Source organism: Homo sapiens, chromosome 7 (genome assembly GCF_000001405.40).
Source record: "Homo sapiens chromosome 7, GRCh38.p14 Primary Assembly".
Lineage (NCBI taxonomy): Eukaryota > Metazoa > Chordata > Mammalia > Primates > Hominidae > Homo > Homo sapiens.
Genome location: NC_000007.14, coordinates 3,137,205 through 3,159,613, shown reverse-complemented (window position 1 = coordinate 3,159,613; position 22,409 = coordinate 3,137,205). Strand labels below are relative to the sequence as shown.

At 46.5% G+C, this 22,409-nt stretch overlaps 1 long non-coding RNA gene across 1 annotated transcript; it reads left to right on the top strand.

The window, feature by feature from the left end:
• The first annotated feature begins 1,040 nt into the window (after window positions 1-1,040).
• On the top strand, window positions 1,041-18,697 carry LOC100129603 (uncharacterized). Its single transcript, NR_126024.1, has 4 exons — window positions 1,041-1,123; window positions 1,359-1,476; window positions 10,546-10,633; window positions 18,414-18,697. It is a non-coding gene; the product is annotated as an uncharacterized LOC100129603 (long non-coding RNA).
• Window positions 18,698-22,409: the final 3,712 nt, after the last annotated feature.

Below are 22,409 nucleotides of genomic sequence, written 5' to 3'. Positions count from 1 at the left end.
GGCAACAGGTTTGGGTTCTGAGCCAGGAAGTTAAGAAGCCAGGCAGCACAACCCTACCACCCAGATGTCAGAGGCATTTGAACCAGAGCAACTCTATCTTGAAGAGGAGCTGGGTAAAATGAGGCTGAGACCTACTAGGTGCATTCCCAGATGGTTAAGGCATTCCAAGTCACAGGATGAGATAGGAGGTCAGCACTAGATACAGGTCCTAAACACCTTGCTGATAAAACAGGTTGCAGTGAAGAATCTGGCAAAACCCCACAAAAACCAAGATGGACACCAGAGTGACCTCTGGTCATCCTCACGGCTACGCTCCCACCAGCATCATGACAGTTTACAAATGCCATGGCAACGTCAGGAAGTTCCCTATATGGTCTAAAAGGGAGAGGCATGAATAATCCACCCCTCCTTTAGCATATCATCAAGAAATAACCACAAAAATGGGCAACCAGCAGCCCTTGGGGCTGCTGTGTCTGTGGAGTAGCCCTTCTTTTATTCCTTTCCTTTCCTAATAAACTTGATTTCTCTTTACTCTATGGACTCGCCCTGAATTCTTTCTTGCATAAGATCCAAGAACCCTCTCTTGGGGTCCAGATCGGGTCCTGTAACACAGGCTCACCTGCTCCTGTTTAAGGGATACCCACTAGGGTATCCAGCTCCAAATCTGGGCTGGACCCTTCCCCTCTGTGATCCTGGCTTCCTATTCCCAAGGGAAGAACCGTCCAGAAAGGCCCTGACCCAGAGCCCCCTAAACCCTTGAAGGAGGCTCCCTGATCCCTCCAACATCATGCTGTAGTTTTCGCCGTACAAACGACCCCATCGACTTCCTTTTTCTCCAGGGAGAGATCAGGGACCTCTCCATGATGAGTTAAACATCAAATCCTCTATAAAAGCTGCTCTGGATTCTGCCTAGGTTCTCAGCATCTGGCAAAAACATTTGCGGACCAAGGTCTGTGAGCACATCTCGCTGGTTTTTGTTTTTTTTTTTTTTTTTTTTTTTTTTGAGAGCTCTCGTGATTTCTAAATTACATCACGGGGCAGAGCGGAATGGAGGGATTTAAAACGCCCATCCTTTTAAAAAACATGAACCGTTTCAAGTACAGAGTTTGACAGAGGGTAGACGGTACGAACTTGCTCCCACAGGCCTAGTTACTTGCCTCGTGCAAGGCCCCTCTCTCCCCTTCCCACTTGGAATCATCCTTGGAATCATCTTTGTCTAGGAAGAGGATTTCACTCCGGGTCTTTGAGAACACCTCTCAGGCCTGACCCTGGCCTTGGGAAGAAGACTCCCAGCCTGAGGGTCTTGTTGAGAGTTTTAATGTCCCCTTTAGGGACATCTTTGCTTTTCTTTCTTTCAGAAGAGGAATCAATTCTGGACCAGAGGATGTCTCCCTGCCTTTGCCCTGCCTGCCTCCCCCCACATCCTTCTCTGGCAAGGGGAATGAGGCTGAGAATGACCTCCATCCGCAGGACGAGGTAGGCACTGATTTAATGAAGGACTTCACTCTCAGTCGGGCTCAGCCGCAGGGATGGCAGATGGGGCCAGGCAGGAGGCTGTGGTGGGGTCTGTGCTGGGGAGATGGGAGCAGGAGCATCTGCAGAGTGGAGGCAGGAGGGTCGGAGAGCTCGGGGCCCAGACAGTCCCCAAGCGACTCTTGGGAGGCTGGCTTTGATGCCGTCCCAGAATATGGTTCAGAGTCAAAGCAAAGGGATGAATTTGTTAGCTGGAACACGGCCCTGAATTCTCCCCAGGAAATTCACTGAAACAGAGATTTAACCCGCGAGAGTTCCAGCCGAGCGATGAATCACCCGACTTCCCTCCTGTCTTTCATAGCCCACGTTTCACTTTCCTACCTTGGATTAGATAAATTAATGCAGAACATCCGGAAACTCCCGGGGCGCTTTGAAGTTTTCAAAGGGCCTCTGCCTACATTGTCTCCTGTGATCCCCCTGGTGGCCCCCACAGGTGAATGGACGAGGAGGTTGGGGTGTGGTCCTCGTACACATGGAGACACAGCAGAACACTAAAGGTGAATGGCTTTCCCCAGGTCCCAGCCTGAGGATCAGAGCCCAGGTCACCTGCCTCATTGCTTAGTGGTTCTGGAGTTCAGGCAACTTCATACCGTGGCGCAGGGAGAAGCATGAACCCAAAGGTTGGAGCCACGTCTTAGACAAATCAGTTCTTCTCCCTGGGCTGCATCTCCTCTTCCTCTTTTTGTTTTTTTTGAGACAGGGTGTCACTGTGTTGCCCAGGCTCACTGGGCAGTGGCACAGACTTGGCTCACTGCAACCTCCGTCTCTCAGGCTCAAGTGATCCTCCCATCTCACCCTCCAGAGTAGCTAGGACTACAGGTGCATGCTACCACGCATGGCTAATTTTTGTACTTTTTGTAGAGACAGGGTCTCACTGTGTTGCCCAGGCTCCTCTGGAACTCCTGGGCTCAATCAGTCCTCCCACCTCAGCTTCCTGAGTAGCTGGGACTACAGGCTCACACCACTACACTTCTCCAATTTTTAAATTTTTTTTATAGAGTCGGTGTCTCGCTGTGTTGCCCAAGCTGGTCTAAAACTCCTGTCCTCAAGCAATCCTGCTGCCTCAGCCTCTCAAAGTGCTGAGATTACAAGCGTGAGCCACCGCACCCAGCCTCTCCTCCTTTTTAGTTGCTGGGCTGGGCTCTCTAGAACTGTGCTGTCTAACGTGGTAGCAACTAACTCCATGTGACTTTTTAAAGTTAAACTAATTTAAGCTAAATAAAAATTAAAAACTAGTTCCTCAGTCCGACTAGCCCCATCCAAAGTGCTCAGTAACTGCGTGTGACTAATGGCTCCTATACTGGATGGCACAGAAATAACATTTCCGTCATCACAGAAAGTTCTTCTGTCCAGCAACAGGACAGGGCTGGTCAAACTGCCACCTCAGGGCAAATGCGGTCTGCTGCCTGTTTTTGTAAATAAAGTTTTGTCGGAACAGGGACACACCCATTTCTTCATATATTGTCTTTGGCCCCTGTCGTGCAACCAGCATGAGTAGTTGTGACCGAGATGATATGGCCCAAAAGACCTAAAATATTCACGGTCCAGTCCTTTACAGAAAGCATGCCGACTTCTGCCCTGGAAGATGGAAAATCTGCGGATTTCCACCCAGACCGCTCAGTGTCATTCAGAGGCCCAGAATCATCCCACACTGCAGACATCCCGCCTCTCCTTGTCCCAGTTATTGGGATTCATGGAACACATCTGCCTGTGTGTGTGTTTCTAGAAAGGAAATGTAGTGCTTTATTTTTTTAATTTTTGAGACAGGGTCTCACTTTTTCCCCTGGCTGGAGTGCAGTGGTATGATCAGGGCTCACTGCAGCCTCGACCTCCTAGACTTCCATAGTCAAATGATCTTCTTGCCTCAGCCCCACCAGTAGCTGAGACTACAGGCACGAGCCGTCACACCTGGTTAATTTTTTTTAAATTATTTTTAGTACAGGCAGGGTCTCACTGTGTTGCCCAGGCTGGTCTGGAACTCCTGGGCTCAGGTGATCCTCTGGTCTTGACCTCCCAAACTGCTGGGATTACAAGCATGAGCCACCACGCGCAGCCCTAATAATTTTCAATTCAGGGCCAATCTCATTTCATCTGTTCCTCTACCCACTTTAGATGAGCCCTGGAATCTTTTGAAGCAGATTTCAGTCATTCTGTCACTTAACATGTAAATATTTCAGTAGGCATCTCTCAAAAACATAAATACGATACCAGTATCACTTAACATGTAAATATTTCAGTAGGCATCTCTCAAAAACATAAATACGATACCAGTATCACAGCTAAAGATATTCACAATAATTCCTTAATCAAATGTGCAGTGTTCAAAGTTCCCTAATTTGTCTCATAGATATTTTTTCTTGTATTATTCTAACATCTGCCTGGGGATCTAAATCAGATCCGTATGTTGCGATGGGCTGTTGGGTCTCTGCCTTCTTTAACCTATTACCCTTTCCCTCTTTTCCTTACAATTCACTTAATGAAAAAATTGGATTATTTGTCCTATAGAGCTAGCCACAGCTTGCACAATCTTGAATTATTATTATTATTATTATTATTATTATTATTATTATTATTGAGACAGGGTCTTGCCCTGTGCCCCAGGCTGGAGTGCAGTAGCACAATCACGGCTCAGTGCAGCCTCAACCTCCTGGGCTCAAGTTATCCTCCCACCTCAGCCTCCAGAATAGTTGGGACTGCAGGCATATGCCAACACACCTGGATAATTTTTATATTTTTTGTACAGACGGAATTTTGCCATGTTGCCCAGGCTGGTCTCCAACTCCTGGCCTCAAGCGATCCACCCACCTCGGCTTCCCAAAGAGCTGGGATTACAGGCCACAGTCTGGATTTTGATGATGACATCTCCATGGTGTCATTTGACAGGTTCTTCTGTCCTCTTCATTTTCTATAGATCAGTAGTTGGATCTAGGGTTGATCACATTCAGTTTTGGGGATTTGACAAGAATATTTCATGGTGTAGTGTCCTGTCCTTCCACTGGGGGGCACAGAGTGCTTGGTTTGTGTCTTTTTTAGAGGTTGTTCACGGTTTGTAATGGTGATTGCTTAGATCCATTAGTTCATTATGAGATGTAAAATGCTGATATTCAAAGTCTACATTCCTCTTCCTTAATTAGCTAGAATACTTCTATAACAAGGACCTTCCCCTTATCAACCACTTGGTCACGCTGATGTATCGTTGCCATAAGAAAGGTCGATAAATGCTTAAATTTTTTCCCTTTTACTGACCAGTTTTCAAAATAATGAGGGGATATCCTGCTGACCTCCAAAGGTGACCAATGAGAGCTTTTTTCTTCTTTTTTTACGAATCATGAATTCACCAACTTTAACCCATTCACTTTGTTTCAAACCATTCAACTAGTTAACCTCAAGGATGCCATGGTATGGAAGAGAATCTGTTGAGTCAACTCTTCCTACATCACTGACCAGCCAACTTCTGACCACAAAAGCTGTCAGGCTGGCTGGGGCCAGAGTCCCCTCACCTTGTCACAGGCCATAGGAGAGTCTCCTCCTACACCCCACCCTGGTCAACCCAAGACTTGCTCGTGTGCAGATGCGTGCTTCAGAGACAGAGCAGCAGGACGCTCTAGAACCGAGCCAGGGGGTGGGAGGGGCCAGCACCTCTCTTGCTCAAGAGTGAGACACCAGGCAGGATGCAGGGGCTCATATCTGTAATCCCAGCCCTTTAGGAGGCTGAGGCAGGAGGATCACTTGAGGCCAGGAGTTTGAGGCTGCAATGAGCCACGATCGCACCACTGCACTCCAGCCTGGGCAACACAGGCAAGACCTCATCTCTATAAAAAATGTAAAAAGTCAGCAGGGCATGGTGGTGTGCCCCTATAGTCCCAGCTACTTGGGAGGCTGAGGTGGGAGAATCACTTGAGCCCAGGAAGTTGATGCTGCAGAGAGCTACGATTGATTGCACCACTGCACTCCAGCCTGGGAAACAGAGTGAGACCCTGTCTCTAAAAAAAAAAAGGAGACAATGAGACACTTGCATTCAATTTTTCATGGTGGGGACGTCTCCTGTTGGGCTATGGTTAATGCAATCACTGATCCTAAGCCTTAAAATGCACACACACAAACATACACATCACACACATACACACACAAATGTGCACACAACTGCTGTTCATGAGGAAAAATAATTTCCAAGCTTCTGTTCCCACCTGCTCCACACACAGATGCTCTCGTATCTCATAATTGGCCAACTTAACTAGTTTGATAAGGAAATAGATTTTGCTTTAGAAGACACAGCTACATCTACCTCTGTGTAAGTTTCCTTTTTACTCCACCCACCTCAGAACTCAGGCTGTTCCCAAGCAGTGAACTAACAGGAGAATGTCTAGTTTAAGGGGGATTTTTAATTCCATTTCCAAACCCTGCAGGTATTCACCAGTATGCTGTTTATTTTACTTGCTTAGTCCCTGCTCAGGACAGGATATTGGAGGTGAATTATTTATATTCCAAGAAACCAAAAGAAAGAGAGAGGAAAAAAACCAAGAGCAAGGAAACAGTAATTTCTGTATGGCTGTTTTTCAGGTTTCTACCGATCTTACTAAAAATATTTTATTCTTACTCCATTTTTGTACAGAAAATTTCATGTGTGTACTGCCACTGAAAAGCAACATTACTGATTTATTTAAAATATTTATACTGAATTACAGCATTAAGATAGACACATGCATTAGCAGGAGTGATTCAGAACAATGTGCCCACGAAGTTTATTTTTGAATCAAAGTTGAGAAGGCTGTGTGTCTACAAACATCAAATGACTCATTTTTCGCTAATTACTGACACCTGCAGCCGATTCGCTCTCTGCTAAAACTCAGCATTTCAGTTAATTTCTGCCCTAATTAGCGTGGTAACAAATGCATCTCCTACTTGATATAGAAATGCAGAAGGGTGCACAATGACTCTGGGGGCTTCCAACTTTCTTCCTAAAATTCTAGCAGAGGAATCTAGAAATGCCAATGGTTGGGCTTCACGGCCTGACCCAGGTGTTCAGAGGTTCCTCCACCAAAGGGCAGGGCTGCTTAGAAGCCAGGCAATCTCTTAAGATGGGGTAGTGGAGCATGCAGGGGCTGGGGGTCAGACAATCCTGGGTTCGCATTTCTGACCTGCCGTTCACGTGCTGTGCAACCTTGGGCAAATCGCTTAGCCCCTCTGAGCCATAAGATGGAGAGAAATGATCGGTCCCATATCACTGGCATGTTGTCCAGGCAAAGTGCTGGGAACATGGGAGGTGGTCCATCCTCACTATTCCCATGGTTACGACTCAAGATCAGACCCACTTTCCTTCCTTCCCTCCCTTCCCTCTTTCCCTCTTTCCTTCCTTCCTCCCTCTCTCTCTCTCTCTCTCTCTTTCTTATCCTTCTTTCTTTCGATGGAGTCTCGCTCTATCACCCAGGCTAGAGTGCAGTGGCGCGATCTTGGCTCACTGCAGCCTCCACCTCCCGGATTCAAGCAATTCTCCTGCCTCAGCCTCCCGAGTAGCTGGGACTACAGGCACATGCCACCACACCCAGCTAATTTTTGTATTTTTTATTTTTTAGTAGAGATGGGGTTTCGCCATGTTGGCCAGGCTGGTCTTGAACTGGTAAGCTCAAGCTACCTGCCTGCCTCGGCCTCCCAAAGTGCTGGGATTACAGGCATGAGCCACTATGTCCAGCCCAGACCCCTTTTCTCAACCCCCAAAACCACTCATGTCAAAGTGACTCCCCCTTTGAGTTCCCCAGCCTTAGCTCCTGACAATTTCCCCTGCCACTGTGTGGTCCTGTCTGGCTCCTGCCTCCAGCCAGCCCAACATGTGGTCTTTCTCTTAAGTGGGCCTTTTTCTTTCCCAAGCCCAACCCTCTGTATGGAGAACACCAAAATAATAATAATAATAATAATAATAATAATAATAATAATAATGATAATAAAAAGGAAGGAGGGAAGGAGAAAAAAGATAAAAGATTTGATAGCCACCATGTGTCTGGCACCCAGCGTGTAATGAAAATGATAATGTTTTCTCTGTTGCAAGCTGCTTCGCAAAGCTCCTTATGGCCACTGATTCATTAAATCTTCATGACTCCCGCGAGATACGTACTCTCATTTCCCCATTTTATGGATGAGAAAACCGAGACTTTAGAGAAAAATAGTTCAAGAAGATATAAACAGACAGTTCACAGAAGGGGGCATCAAAATTGCCTATCGGGCTTAGAAACAGTTGCTCAACCTCACATTCAAGGTGCAAATAAAATTAATTATGGGATACTATTTTTCATCTCTTAGTCTAGAAAATGAACAGTAACTTCCAATGCCTCAACAATACACGAAGCTGGGTACTCAAATTCCTTGTTCATGAGTGTGAATTGCTTTCAACTTTACACAAATTAACCATACAATGTCTATTAAAATTTAAAATGCATGCTCTTTAGCAAGAAACCTCACTTTTGGGAATCTGTCCTACACTAGTAAAACCAACGACACATGAAAAACATAGAGGAGGATGTTTATTGCAGCACTGTTTGGGACAAGGAAAACGAATGATTTTTTTTTTTTTTTTTTTTTTTTTTTTTTTTTTGTGTGAGACAGAGTCTTGCTCTGTCACCCAGGCTGGAGTGCAGTGGCAAGATCTCAGCTCACTGCAACCTCTGCCTCCTAGATTCAAGAGATTCTCCTACCTCAACCTTCCAAGTAGCTGAGATTATAGGCAGGAGCCACTACACCTGGCTAATTTTTGTATTTTTAATAGAGTATTTTTAATGTTAGTGAGGCTGGTCTTGAACTCCTGACCTCAGGTGATCCTCCCACCTCAGCCTCCGAAAGTGCTGGGATTATAGGTGTAAGCCACCAAGCCTGGCCGGAAAATGAATGATTTTTACTGCGTGGTTTATACTGGAGGAAAAAACAACAACCCAAGGATGGTATAGTATTGTCTGGAGTGGGGGAAAATAGAAACAAAGTAAATTTTCATCTATAGAGTAGCTGGATGCATTTAGGTATATCCATATTATAGAATACTATGTAGCAGTTTAAAATAATGAATTGAAACTCTATTGCTGATTGCTGAGTGAAAAATCAACCTAACCCACTCCTTGAAAGGAGTCACAAGTAGGGCAACGCTTTTGAATGAGATACCATGTTTCATTGTATTGGGGTGGGGGGTGGGAATCCACCAAGCATTTTTGCGTAACATTGAGCATTTAAAACACCAATACCGAGGCCGGCAAATTGCTTGAGCTCAGGAGTTTGAGACCAGAAGACTGGGCAACATGGAGAAACTCTGTCTCTACAAATAATAATAATAATAATAATTAGCTGAGTGTGGTGGTGCACACCTGTAGTCCCAGCTACTTGGGAGGCTGAGGTGGGAGAATTGCTTGAGATCAGGGAGGTCGAGGCTGCAGTGAGCTGTGATTGTGCCACTGCACTGCAGCCTGGGTGACAGAGTGAGACCCTGTCTCTAAAAAAAAACCAAAGACAAAAACAGAGACTCCCAATAACCTAATTATTTAACCCGGAATGAACACAATAGAGGGCACGTGTGTCTGCACTCATTGGGAATGTTTTCTTTCTCGCCTGTAGTTAGCGAACCCTGTGACATAAGCAAATGGGGAAATGTTATGTGAAAGATACACGATGCATGCAAGTAAGGCTTAGCAAAATGAAATAAGCAAGGGGACTTTTAATAACAGTGGTTTCCTGATTGGAGAGCTGTCTGAATAAGGGGACAGCCGCACTAGTCCCCTATCTCTCTAACTCATGACCCACCCAGGTGCTTCCGCCTGCAGCCCTGCGGGGGCTGCCTCCGGTTTTCAGGGGTCAGTGAGTGTAAACTCCTTTTTTCCTGGCAGGGATGCCCATGTCTGCATGTCTCAGCATCGCAGATTAAAGTAACTCCCAGGTGTGTGAAAACATCAGGCCTGTTTGTGGGGCAGAGTCTTGGCTGGGGAGAGAGACAGGAGATGTGTGTCATCTTTCCTGGCACTCACAGGGCCGTGGGAACAACAGGTTTGGAAAGGAGGAAGTGGAGCGTGGTGAGGTGCGGACTGCAACAGGGGAGGGGCAGCTGCAGGAGCTCTGGGGGCCTAGAGGAGCCACAGCCCCCCTGCTGCAAGCCAGAGAGAGACCGGAGGGCTTCTCAGAGGAGGGAGGTTGCAAGTACATGGTGGGAAAGGTGCAGACGTCTGTTAAGGGCACCCACAAAGGTGATGCAGGAGGAAGTGCTGTGGCTGGGAGACCAGGGCCGGTCCAGAGACTGGCCAGTGAGAATAGGAAAGCCTGCTGATATCCACAGGGCCTGGTCGTGGCAACCCTGATGAAACGTGCTAGGCTGTCTGGAACCTGCCCGTTAGGCAAAAGGAGCCACTCAAGAGGATCCCACCCAGCTGATGCCAGTTTCAGCTGAATCTGGTCTGTGGCTGGGGGCAGATTGGGAGAAGTCAATGCCTCACTGTTTTTGTTGTCGGGATCAATGGACGGCTGCCATTTGCAGGTGTTGCATCTGGGATAAAGTGAAGGGACAAGTTTGGAGCCAGGGCTTGGTGGCCGAAATGTGTGTTGGGAGAGCAATGGGCCAGGCAGCTCCCCTGGTGCTGGCTTGGAAGGTGGGTGGGTGTTGGAGCATTTCATGGAGCAGGGCCACAAGGTCAGCACTGGGTTTGGGAGTAGACACTCCTTGTGAGAAGAAGCCATCCTGGCCCGGTGCAGCTGCTCACGCCTGTAATTCCAACACTTTGGGAGGCCAAGGCACGAGGATTGCTTGAGCCCAGGGGTTCAACACCAGCCTGGGTGATATGGTTTGCATCTGTGTTCCCAGCCAAATCTCGTGTTGAATTGTTAGCCCCAGTGCTGCAGGTGGGGCCTGATGGGAGGTGATTGGATCATGGGGGAGGAATTCTCCCTTGCTGTTCTCATGATATTGAGTGAGTTCTCACGAGATCTGGTTGATTAAAAGTATGTAGCATCTCCCCGTTCTTTCTCTTCCTTCTCCTCTGTCCATGTAAGACGTGTCTGCTTCGCCGTTGCCTTCCACCGTGATTGTGAGTTTCCTGAGGCCTTCCCTAGCCATGCTTCCTGTATAGTCTGTGGAACGGTGAGTCAATTAAACCTCTTTTATTTATAAATTACCTGATTTCAGGTAGTTCTTTACAGCACTGCAAGAACAGACTAATACACTAGGAAACATAGCAAGACGTCTACATCTCTACAAAATAACAACAACAAAAAATTAGCTGGGCATGGTGGTGCATGCCTGTAGTTCCAGCTACTCAGGAGGGTGAGGCAGGAGGATTGCTTGAGCCCAGGAGGTTAAGGCTGCAGTGAGCTATGATTGAGCCACTGCACTCCAGCCTGTGTGACAGTGAGACCCTGTCTCAAAACAAATAACAAAAAGGCCGGGTGCAGTGGCTCACGCCTGGAATCCCAGCACTTTGGGAGGTCAAGGTGGGTGGATCACCTGAGATCAGGAGTTCAAGACCAGCCTGGCCGACATAGTGAAACCTTGTCTCTAGTAATAATACAAAAATCAGCTGGGCATGGTGGCAGGGAACTGTAATCCCAGCCACTTGGGAGGCTGAGGAAGGAGAATCACTTGAACCCGGGTGGCAGAGGTTGCAGTGAGCCAAGGTTGTGCCACTGCACTCCAGTCTGGGCAACAAAGAGAGACTCCATTTCAAAAAAAAAAAAAAGCCGGGCATGGTGGCTCACACCTGTAATCTCAGCACTTTGGGAGGCCGAGGTGGGCAGATTACCTGAGGTCAGGAGTTCGAGACCAGCCTGGCCAACACAGTGAAACCACGTTTCTATTAAAAATACAAAAATTAGCTGGATGTGGTGGCGGGCACCTGTAATCCCCAGGTACTCGGGAGGCTGAGGTAGAAGAATTGCTTGAACCTGGGAGGTGGAGGTTGCAGTGAGCCGAGATCACGCCACTGCACTCCAGCCTGGTCGACAAGAGCAAAACTCCATCTCAAAAAACAAAGAAAAGCATCCTGAATTTAGTGAAGGGGAAGCTTGAAAGCACCTGTGCTGTATTCTCACCAACATAGGCCAACCTCATCAAACAACTCCCTTCCTCTGTGTCTCCATTTCTGTCTCCCTGTCTTTTTTCTGCTCCCTAAAATCTGTTTTGAGCATCGAGTATTGGGCAGCCTACACATGACATTAAGGAAAACCTGGCAATAATTGTAGGTGACATAAAATTTATTGAGATCCTTGTTTTTAACTTTACTACTCAGAATGTGAATCTATTTCTTCAAAACTAGGGTGGAATCCTGAATAGAGGCACATGTGAGAGATAAAGCTCGAGACTGGGTGCAGTGGCTCACACCTGTAATCCCAGCACTTTGGGAGGCCAGGTGGGAGGATCACTTAAGCCCAGGAGTTTGAGACCAGCCTGGGCAAGATGGCCAAACCCAGTCTCTACCAAAAAAAAAAAAAAAAAAAAAGCAAAAATTAGCCAGGTGTGGTCACGTGCACCTGTAGTCTCAGCTACTTTGGAGGCTGAGGCAGGAGAATTGTTTGAGCCCAGGAGGCAGAGGTTGTAGTGAGCCGAGATCGTGCCACTGCATTCCAGCCTGGGCGACAGAGCAGGACCCTGTCTCCAAAAAATAAAAATAAAAAAAAAAAGTCTGCCCCTATGAGTTGAGCAACCTCATGAAGATATCCTTTCTTAGCTTGTTTTCCCAGCTCTAAAATACAATGCAAACTATCCCACGGGGTGTATTAGGGCCCAGTGAAATTTCTCTGCTAGGGCTATAATTGTCTGTCTTCTTATAGCCGTTCTTATTTTTGACTTTGGAGGTATTAAATATTCAGCCCATGCCAGAGTGAGGATCTCCTTTTCACCTTCTGTCTGAATTGTGCCTTGAATCTGTTTCGCGATGGGTGCGAACTGGGTGAGACACTTGTCTTAGAACCGCAGCCCTGGCAACTCCACGCCGCCTGACCTCGAGCCGGTTTCCATAGCCTGAATCCTTCCTCTCATTTGCAAACAACTTTCTTAGTAAATGATGACAAAGCAGAATGCAATCCCTTCTATAAGAGATATGACTCAGAACAAATTGTAGCCGCGTTTTCCTCACTTTTCTCCTGCGTGGTGCGTGCTTCATCATCTTAAAGATCTCTTTGTTTGATAGTCAAGTGCATTAGTGTAGACAAGTGTGATATTTCTTCTCTTGTAATAATTATTTCCTGTTATAATTTCGGAGTTGTATCATAGCTTCTAACGTCGTCCCCCAGCCCTTGAGCATAAAGATTTCCCCTGGACTCCTAGCAATGTTACATGCAAAACAAATGACATCAGCAGAATAGAACAGACTTGTAGAAAGATCTTCTAGGAAGAAAGCAAATAGGAAGATCAGCTACAAACCGAGACGGGTGGATCACGAGGTCAGGAGATGGGGACCATCTTGGCCAACATGGCAAAACCCCATCTCTCTCAAATACAAAAAATCAGCTGGGTGTGGTCACACACCTGTAGTCCCAGCTACTCAGGAGGCTGAGGCAGGAGAATCGCTGGAACCCGGGAGGTGGAGGTTGCAGTGAGCTGAGATAGCGCCACTGCACTCCATTCTGGGGACAGAGCAAGACTCCGTCTCAAACCAGCTAAGCAGGAAGAACATTGCTTTGCAAGAAAAATACCTATGTATTCATTTAACAACAGCTCCAAACAAAGGCAGTGGGTTCATCAAGGGTTCGGGCAGCTTGTATCATCTTTAATTATAATAATTTTTAATGGTGGTGACCTGATTATTACATTTACAATGTTTGTTTATCAAAAGGTCTGAGGGGCGACCAAGGAATTCTTTCAGCAGTACTCTGTACACTAATGAAGTTGCAAAGCTCTCAAATGCAGAGAGCACATAAAAGCCATGGCAATAAAAGAGCTTAAACTCCCCAAGCCTGAAGTGCTTGCCTACTGCATCACCGGCCGTCAATAGGTACTTTGCTCTGAGGACATCAGGTGGTGTTAGCAACCTGTCGATTAGATGGAGGTGAGCCCAGAGGCCAGAAAGTCACTGATGGGCCAGGGCTAGAGTCACAGGTGATGGTGAGACCCAGGCTACTCAAAGTGTCCCCAGACCAGCTGCCTGGCGTCACTGGGAGCTTGTGAGAGGTGCAGAATAAGGCCACCCAGACCTGTAGTATCAGAAACTGCTAAGGGTGCCGGGTGCGGTGGCTCACATTTGTAATCCCAGCACTTTGGGAGGCCCGGGTGGGCAGATCACTTGAGGTCAGCGGTTCGAGACCAGCCTGGCTAACATGGTGAAACCCCATCTCTACTAAAAAATACAAAAAGTAGCCAGGTGTGGTGGCACACACTTGTAGTTCTAGCTACTTAGGAGGCTGAAACAGGACAATCACTTGAACCTGGGAGGCAGAGTTTGCAGTGAGCCAAGATGGCACTACTGCACTCCAGCCTTGGTGCCAGAGTAAGATTCCATCTCAAAAAAAAAAAAAATGCTGAGGAACAAGATGCACAGGTGACCCGTGTGCTCGTTAATGTTTGAGAAGCAGAGGTTTAGGAAACAGCTTTTGAAGAAATCAAACCAAGAGAGGGGTAGGAATTGTCAGGCAAGAGGTGGCCCTGGAATGTGAGGCTGTGAGCAGCATGACCTTGTCTTATCTCATTGCACCTGCAATTAAACCTTTTGTCCAAACAAGATCTTACTCTGAGGTTCCAAGTAGATGTGAATTTGGGAGAAGACAGCATTTAACCCAGTGCAGAGGAGAAGATTAGCAAGAACCTTAGGGCATCAGGACTCCTGAGTTCTGCTCCTGGCTGGGGCTACTCCAGGGGGTTCTGTTTCCATGTGCATTTTAAAAAAAAAAAATTGTCATTGAAATCTTTTTTTTTTTTTTTTTTTTTTTTTTTTTTTTTTTTTTTTTTTGAGATGGAGTCTCGCTCTGTGACCCAGGCTGAAGTGCGGTGGCGCGATCTCGGCTTACTGCAATCTCTGCCTCCCAGGTTCAAGCAATTCTCCTGCCTCAGCCTCCAGAGTAGCTGAAATTACAGGTGTATTCCATGTCTGGCTAATTTTTATATATTTAGTAGAGACAGTGTTTCACCATGTTGGTCAGGCTGGTCTCGAACTCCTGACCTTGTGATCTGCCTGCCTCGGCCTCCCAACGTGATGGGATTACAGGTGTGAGCCACCGTGCCTGCCTGGTCATTGAAATCTTACATGCTAAAGTGGCAGAGAACACATTGAGGACAGATGAAAAGGCAGCTGATGAGAAGGGACTGAGATTCCGCTCTCCTTGAGCATGCAGACTTCTCTGACCTGGTCCCCGGGAGAGGCCCCAAGCCTCTCCACTCCCATCTCCTTGTATTTAAAACTGAGCTAATAACTTGGAACTCCCTCACAGGAATAGTGGGAAGAACTGGTGTTTAAAATAAAATGATTCTCAACCGTGTTGCAAATGCAAGTTGCCTCAGGAATATTAACTAGGAGGGAAACTATCAAGGTTCCCTCAGATTCTAAATCTGGCAAGAGAAAGAGAGGGGTGGGGGGGGGAGAATGAGCTATTTTTAATTCCTGGCCAAGAAATGATTTTTTTTAAATCCACAGTAATATCATGAGCTCAGCCTGTTCGAACAATGAATTCTGTTTCCATAATTGTCTTGTCCACAGTAGCCACCATAAAAAGAACAATAATCATGGTGATTCCTAATGTAAATCTGCCTGGTTTCTCGGAGGCAGAGGAGGGTGGGCTGCTTTCAGAGCTCTGGGAGAGCCCCGAGGGAGGGGGGACAGTGGCCCCTCCTGGGGTCAAGCCATATGATTTGTAATTAATATTTAACACTGGTTTTAAAAACAAGTGACATGCCCCTTAATCAGCACACATTATCTAAGGTCAGGAACAGAAGAAATGCATTTATTGATTGATTTGCTCCCCCCACCCCATGCCTCTATGTATATGTTAATCAATATTGCCTACAATGTCCAGATTTTTTTTAAAAGGTCTCCCAGATGAAGCTGCAAACACAGCCAGCTCTCTGCTTTCCCTCTGTGCTACAGCTGAGGAAAGCGTGTTGGCAGGAAATTAACTTGTTTAAGGAGCTGGCTTCAGCCTCCTTCTGCCACCCGACCCACTCCAAAACACATTCACTATTCACGGAAGAAGAGGACCATAGAAATTCAGTATGTAGTTTCACATGGGTTATTTTATTTTATTATTATTTTTAGAAATGTTCAAAACACAGAAAAGTGCAGAGAATAACAGAACATGTTCCCAGGTTCTCACCACCCAAAATTGACAAATGCCAACGTTTTCTGTCTTTGGGTTTTTGTTTTTGTTTTTGAGATAGAGTCTTGCTCTGTCACTCAGGCTGGAGTGCAGTGATGCGATCACAGCTCACTGCAACATGAGTCTCATGGGCTCAAGCAATCCTCCCAAGTAGCTGGGACCACAGGTGCATGCCACCATGCCTGGCTAAGTTTTGTTTGTGGTGGTGGTGGTGGTGGTGGTGGTTGTTTTTTTGTTGTTTGTTTTTTTGTTGTTGTTTTTTGTTTTGGTTTTTTGTTTGTGTTTTTGTAGAGATAGGGTCTTCTTTGTTGCTTAGGCTGGTCTTAAACTCCAGGGCTCAAGTGATCCTCCTGCCTCAGCCTCCTAAAGTGCTGGGATTACAGGCAGGAGCCACCACACCCAGCATTTCATGTTTTTATATTTATAAAAATATAAAGTGGGCCAGACACGGTGGCTCACATCTGTAATCCCAACACTTTGGGAGGCCAAGGCAGGTGGATCAAGAGGTCAAGAGATCAAGACTATCCTGGCTAACATGGTGAAACCCCATCTCTACTAAAAATAAAAAATTAGCTGGGCGTGGTGGCATGTGCCTGTAGTTCCAGCTACTCGGGAGGCTGAGGCAGGAGAATCGCTTGAACCCAGGAGGTGGAGGTTGCTGTGAGCCGAGATTGTATCACTGCACTGTAGCCTGGCAACAGAGCAAGACTCCATCTCAAAATAAAATAAATAGAAAATAAAAAATATATGTATTGAACAAAACATCACAGATCAAGTGAAGTCCCTTTCAGCCCCACCTGCAAGGTCAGTCCCTCTCCCCTCTCTCTCAAATCGGGGATGTGCCTCTACCCTCTTATAGGTGTACCCATGAACAATCTATAATATTATAATAAAGTTTGGGCTGCTTTGAGGTTCCTAGAACTTGTTTTGTGTCACTCGACATTGAATTTTTTTATAATTACCTGTGTTATCAATGCACATCTAGTCTCTCCATTTCAATTGCCTGTAGAAGTCTATCTTATGGATGCACCACGTCTGGTCCACCTTCCCCCATTGGTGGACATGGTGTTGTCTCCCACTGTTTCCCATTTATAAACCATGAGTCTGCCATGCATGTCTCCTGGTCTACATGTACCCTTGGAATTTCTGGGTCATGGGGGCGCACAGGTTCAACTTCACTGGGTACTGCCCAGTTGCTCCAAGGCCGGATCAATCTGCATTCACATCAGCAGGGCATGAGCACTCCCTCTGCTCCACATACTCCAACATTTACTCTGGCCCAGCTTTGCTTCCTGATTGGAAACCATCTGATGGGTGATGGAGAGGAACGGGTCCACACGGCTTTTTTCACATCGCCATTCGTTGGCTTTCTCTGCTGGGGCTGCTTAAATTCAGCAAAGGAAAAAAAACAAAAACAAAAAAACAGAACAGACACTGGACGTGAGAAATCTGAAACTGGAGCATCTATGTTGTTCCAAAGGGTGGATCTCCAGAGATCTCCCCACCAAGACCGCAGTCCCCACCACCCATCTGTCATGTCAGTCGAGCAGACTGACACTAAGTAAGTACGTTGAAAATGAGCTATGGATCTGGGAGGACCTGGGTCCTTGTGTTGGTTCAAGACTTTCTTTAGACAATTCACTTCACTCTGGTAACCTCAGTTTCCTCAACAGTCAAACAAGGACAATGATCTCAATCATATAAGAGTAAAGACATAGTATCTACGCAGGGCCCGGCATATCACTTGGTATAGAGTGCTGAGAAAGACTATTTTTGAGACGGGCCCTTCCTCTGTTGCCCAGGCTGTAGTGCAGTGGCACAATCATGACTTACTGCAGCCTCAACCTCCTGGGCTCAGGTGATCCTCCCACCTCAGCCTCCTGAGGCTGGGACCACAGGCCTGCGATCCTTGGTTAAGTTTTTTATTTTTTGTAGCAATGGGATTTCACTACATTGCCCAGGCTGGACTCGAGCTCCTGAACTCAAGTGATCGTCCTGTGTCGGCCTCTCAAAGTGCCGCAATTACAGGCAGGAGCCACCACACCTAGTTCTATTATTAATAATAATAAATAACACAGTGAAGTGATTAAGAGTCTGGGTTCTGGAATCGGACTGTTTGGGTTACTTTCCTGGCTTTGGCCTCTTGCTTGTTGTGTGTGTATCTTGGTTATGTCATCTGCAAAATGGGGATGCAATGAATACCAACTTTGGTGAAGATCAAGTGCAATTGTGCATACAAAGGTCTTAGAACAGGGCATTATCCAGGGCTGGGTGCAGTGGCTCAGGCCTGTAAATCCCAGCACTTCGGGAGACCGAGGCAGGTGGATCACTTGAAGTGAGGAGTTCGAGACCAGCCTGGGCGACATGGTGAAACCCTGTCTCTACTAAAAATGCAAAAATTGTCCAGGTGTGGTGGCGGGCGCCTGTAATCCCAGCTACTCAGGAGACTGAGGCAGGAGAATTTCCTGAGTCCAGGAGGCAGAGGTTGTAGTGAGCGGAGATCGTGCCACTGTACTCCAGCCTGGGTGACAGAGCGAGACTCCCTCTCAAAAAAAAAAAAAAAAAAAAAAAAAAAGGCGTGATCCATAGTAAGTGCTCAATAATTGCTGTATTCCTAACAGAGCAGATTATGGACGGCAGAGCTGTACCTTGTGATTGAACAGAATCTGATCAGGAACCTTGGCCTGAAAGCTCGGCAGACTGAACGCTTCAGTGGGATGCAGCTCATTTGAAGTCATCCAGACCTCAAGAGCTCCTTTCTCCTGACCTTTGACGTTGGCTGGTGCCTGGTGTGCATCGTGGGGAGTTCCCCAAGGACCCAGATGCCTGCCACTGTGCCATCAGGGAGGTCTGGCCTCCAAAGGCCTGGGCAGATCCTGGGAGAGAGGGAAAAAAAAAAAAAAAAGACACGAAACAAGTGAGGGGAGTGCCTCATGCAAAAGCTGCCCCATGCATGGGCACAGGAAGAAAGCAAATTGGACCAGCTCTGTAGTAGAAATGCCGGCAGGAAGCAACATCAATTCTCTCCTTTTCTGAGATTTCCCCTGCCAGCATTCTGAGTGATGATAAATCACTCATTTCTGACACGGTTTATTTTTCAAAGCATTTTTATAAGAAGCATCCAGCCATCACATTTCAAACATAATTCAAATGGGGGGAAAAAATCCTGCAATGTTTATTATTAATTAAACAGGATTACTGGACCGACTTGGTAGAAACGGGCAGAGGAAATGCAGGCATCGTCCCAAATTCCTTACACCCAGCCTGCCAGACCTTCCTGGGAGGGGTTTCCAGATGAGACTCGTTTTGCTATAAATCCAAATATCTATTCGTGCTTATCTGCATTTTGATGCTGGAATTAGATGCTGCATGTGTGCAGATGTCGGAATATTTATTGATAGTTAAAATTTCATGTGCCCTGGATTGATGTTTGTGCATCAGGACAAATGATTAGTGTCTTGCCGATAGTTTGAACAGGTGTACGTTAAAGATTATTTAACACCAAGTTCTGTTTTCTGTCTTCAGATTCTCTAGGAAACAAGAAATCAAATCTCCGGGGACTATCCAGGTGGGAAATGGAAATAAATGATAAACATACGAATACATCGATTCTGTTTCCTATTGGTTGGGAGTGGGCTTTTTTATGATCTTGTTAGTATTCCAGATTTATGAATTCTAAAAAATTGAGAGACTATTTGAAATATTTAAATGCATTTTAAAGCCTGTGCGTGGGAAATGGAGCTGTCACCTCACAAGATCCAAAGTGTCTTTAACAACCCCTGCTCTGCTCCGGGAGGGCTCTGCCGTTCGGGACCCAGGCTCCGTCAGAGCAGCAGGAGCTGCAGAACTACAGCTGGATCGGGGGATGGACCTACCCCACCCTGGGCTGTCACTGGGGGGCCCAGTGTTATCCCAGAGGAACTGCTGCCTGGACCACTGTCCTTGAGTATGTCTGCAAGCATGCCACAGAAATCACTAGATGGCGGATGCTAGCCCTGTTCCATTAAAAGCAAGTGCCCACCCCGTCTCTACTAAAAATAAAAAATTAGCCAGGCATGGTGTTGGATGCCTGTGGTCCCAGCTGTTCAGGAGGCTGAGGCAGGAGAATGGCGTGAACCCGGGAGGCGGAGCTTGCAGTAAGCCAAGATCGCGCCACTGCACTCCGGCCTGGGTGACAGAGCGAGACTCCATCTCAAAAAAAAGCAGGTGCCCAGCACGGTGTCTTGCTCATAGCTCACAAATGGATCCATCTTTCCCTGCTCTTCCAGAAGTGGCATACAAAGAGTAGGAGCCCGTCCACCTTGGGGGTCGGAGAGGGTGTGATCGGGAGTGCGTGGCCTGTAGAGAATTTTAAAACAAAACCAACTCAAAATCAATCTGCTTTTCATTCTCACCACATGTGATTCTACACAGTGCCACGGATAACATATGCCTCCCCCTCAATCTCTTTGTTGGTCTAATTTCTGGACAATTGCCACAGTTACTGTTGAGTTTTAATAATATCGCTATGGATTAGCACATTGAATGACTTGTCCTCTAAAATAGTCTTCGATGCGGAGGTTAATTTGGAGACGTCCCTGTTGTGTAATCGACCCCAACACTCAGGGACCCAGAAGCACGTGTTCATGTGAAGAGGAAGTCTGCCAAGATTCTGAATCACTAGGGCTCAGTTGGTGTGGAGTTCAGGTCCCCATCCCCTGTGGCATTGCATATTACATATCAACTGTGTTTAGTAGATTCAAAATAAACAATAGCACAGTCATTATGAAGACAAAGAGAATTTGAATTACTTTAATTCTGCCTTTCCTTGTGACCACTTGGAGTTTTTATTTTACAATTAAAACAGCAAAACAAAAGAACAGAGAAGTGTCATGTTTTGTTCCATATGTGCAAATGTTAGTGTATACGAGAGAGATTTTACTGCATTCAAACAGTATCTGTTGCATCATGGTGATAGAAAATGATTTTGTCTATAGAGGAGAGGCATATTAGAAACAATGGGCTTCAGGTGTCTGTTTTGCCTGGCATACCACTGTCTCCCAGCATGAAGTTCAGTTCTATAAGCATTTACCAGGTCAGGACCCTGAGGGTACAGCAGGGACTGCAACAGACATTTCCAAACCATGCATTCCACAGTTAATTATTTGAATATAAATGTCATAAAGGCTGTAAGAATGATCTAAGAAGTTGCTATATTGTCTAATTCTGTATAACAAATTGCTAGAAAACTTAATGGCTTAAAAAAATACACGTTTATTATGTCAGTTTCTTTGGGCCAGGAATTTGCAAGTGATTTAGCTGAGTGGTTCTGGCTCGGGGACTCTCATGAGGATACAATCAAGATGCTGGCCAGGGCTGCATCATCCAAAGGCTCAACTGAGACTAGAGGATCCACTTCCAAACTCACTCGCATGGCTGTTGGTAGGAGGCCACAGCTCCTCACCATGGGGGCTTCCTCAGAGGGCTGCTTGAGTGTTCTCACAACATGGCGGCCGGCTCTTCCCAGAGCCGGTGATCCAAGAGAGAACACAAAGAGGAATTCACACAATGCCTTTTATAATTTAGCTTCAGAAGTCACACCTTGCCACTTCTATTTATTAGAAGTACTCTATTAGAAGTTACTAAGTCCATCCCCATTTAATGGGAGGCGAATTGGGCTCCATTTTGGAGAGAGGAATGTCAACAAGTTCATGTAATAATTTTAAATTTATTGCCTATCTGTAGATTTGAGACAAGGTCTGGCTCTGTCACCCAGGCTGGAGTGTATGGTGCAATATTGGCTCACTGTAACCTCCACCTCCTGGACTCAAGTCATTATCCCACATCAGCCTCCCAAGTAGCTGGGACTACAGGCATGTTCCACCACACCTGGCTAATTTCTGTATATTTTGTAGAGATGAGGTTTTGCCATGTTGTCTAGGCTGGTCTCAAACTCCTGGGCTCAAATGGTCTGCCCACCTCAGCCTCCCAAAGTGCTGAGATTACAGGCATGAGCCACCAAGCCTGGCCAACACTGAAATTTTTTTTTTTTTTTTTTTAAAGAGATGGGGTCTTGCTCTGTCACCTAGGCTGGAATGCAGTGGCGCTATCACAACTCAAAGCAGCCTCCAACTCTCAGGCTCAAGGGATCCTCCTGCCTCAGCCTCCAGAGTAGCTGGGACCACAGGCCTGTGTCACCACACCCAGTGAATTTGTTGTTTTGTTTGTTTGTTTGTTTGTTTGTTTGTTTTTGTAGGGACAGGGCTCTCACTGTGTTGCCCAGGCTGATGAACTCCTGGTTTCAAGCCATCCTCTCACCTAAGTTTCCTAGGGGATTCTAGCTCTGAAGTGTGAAGGGGAGCTAGGCAGGTAAAGCAGGAGGAAAGAACATTTGGGCAGGGGAAACCGTATGCTTCGAGGTCATGGAGTGGACAGGAGCAGAGCTGCTGCTGTGCGGACGGCAGAGAGGAAAGTGGCCACTGGCGTAAGACAGGCAGGGCTGGGATCACGTCATGGTGAGGAGTTGGAGTTTTATCCTAATGGTGAGAGGAGAGCATGCAGTAGGGGCTTGCCAGGATCTAATTTGCATTTTTCTGGACATTTATGGCAATCCTATGGAGAACAAATCAGAGGGAGGC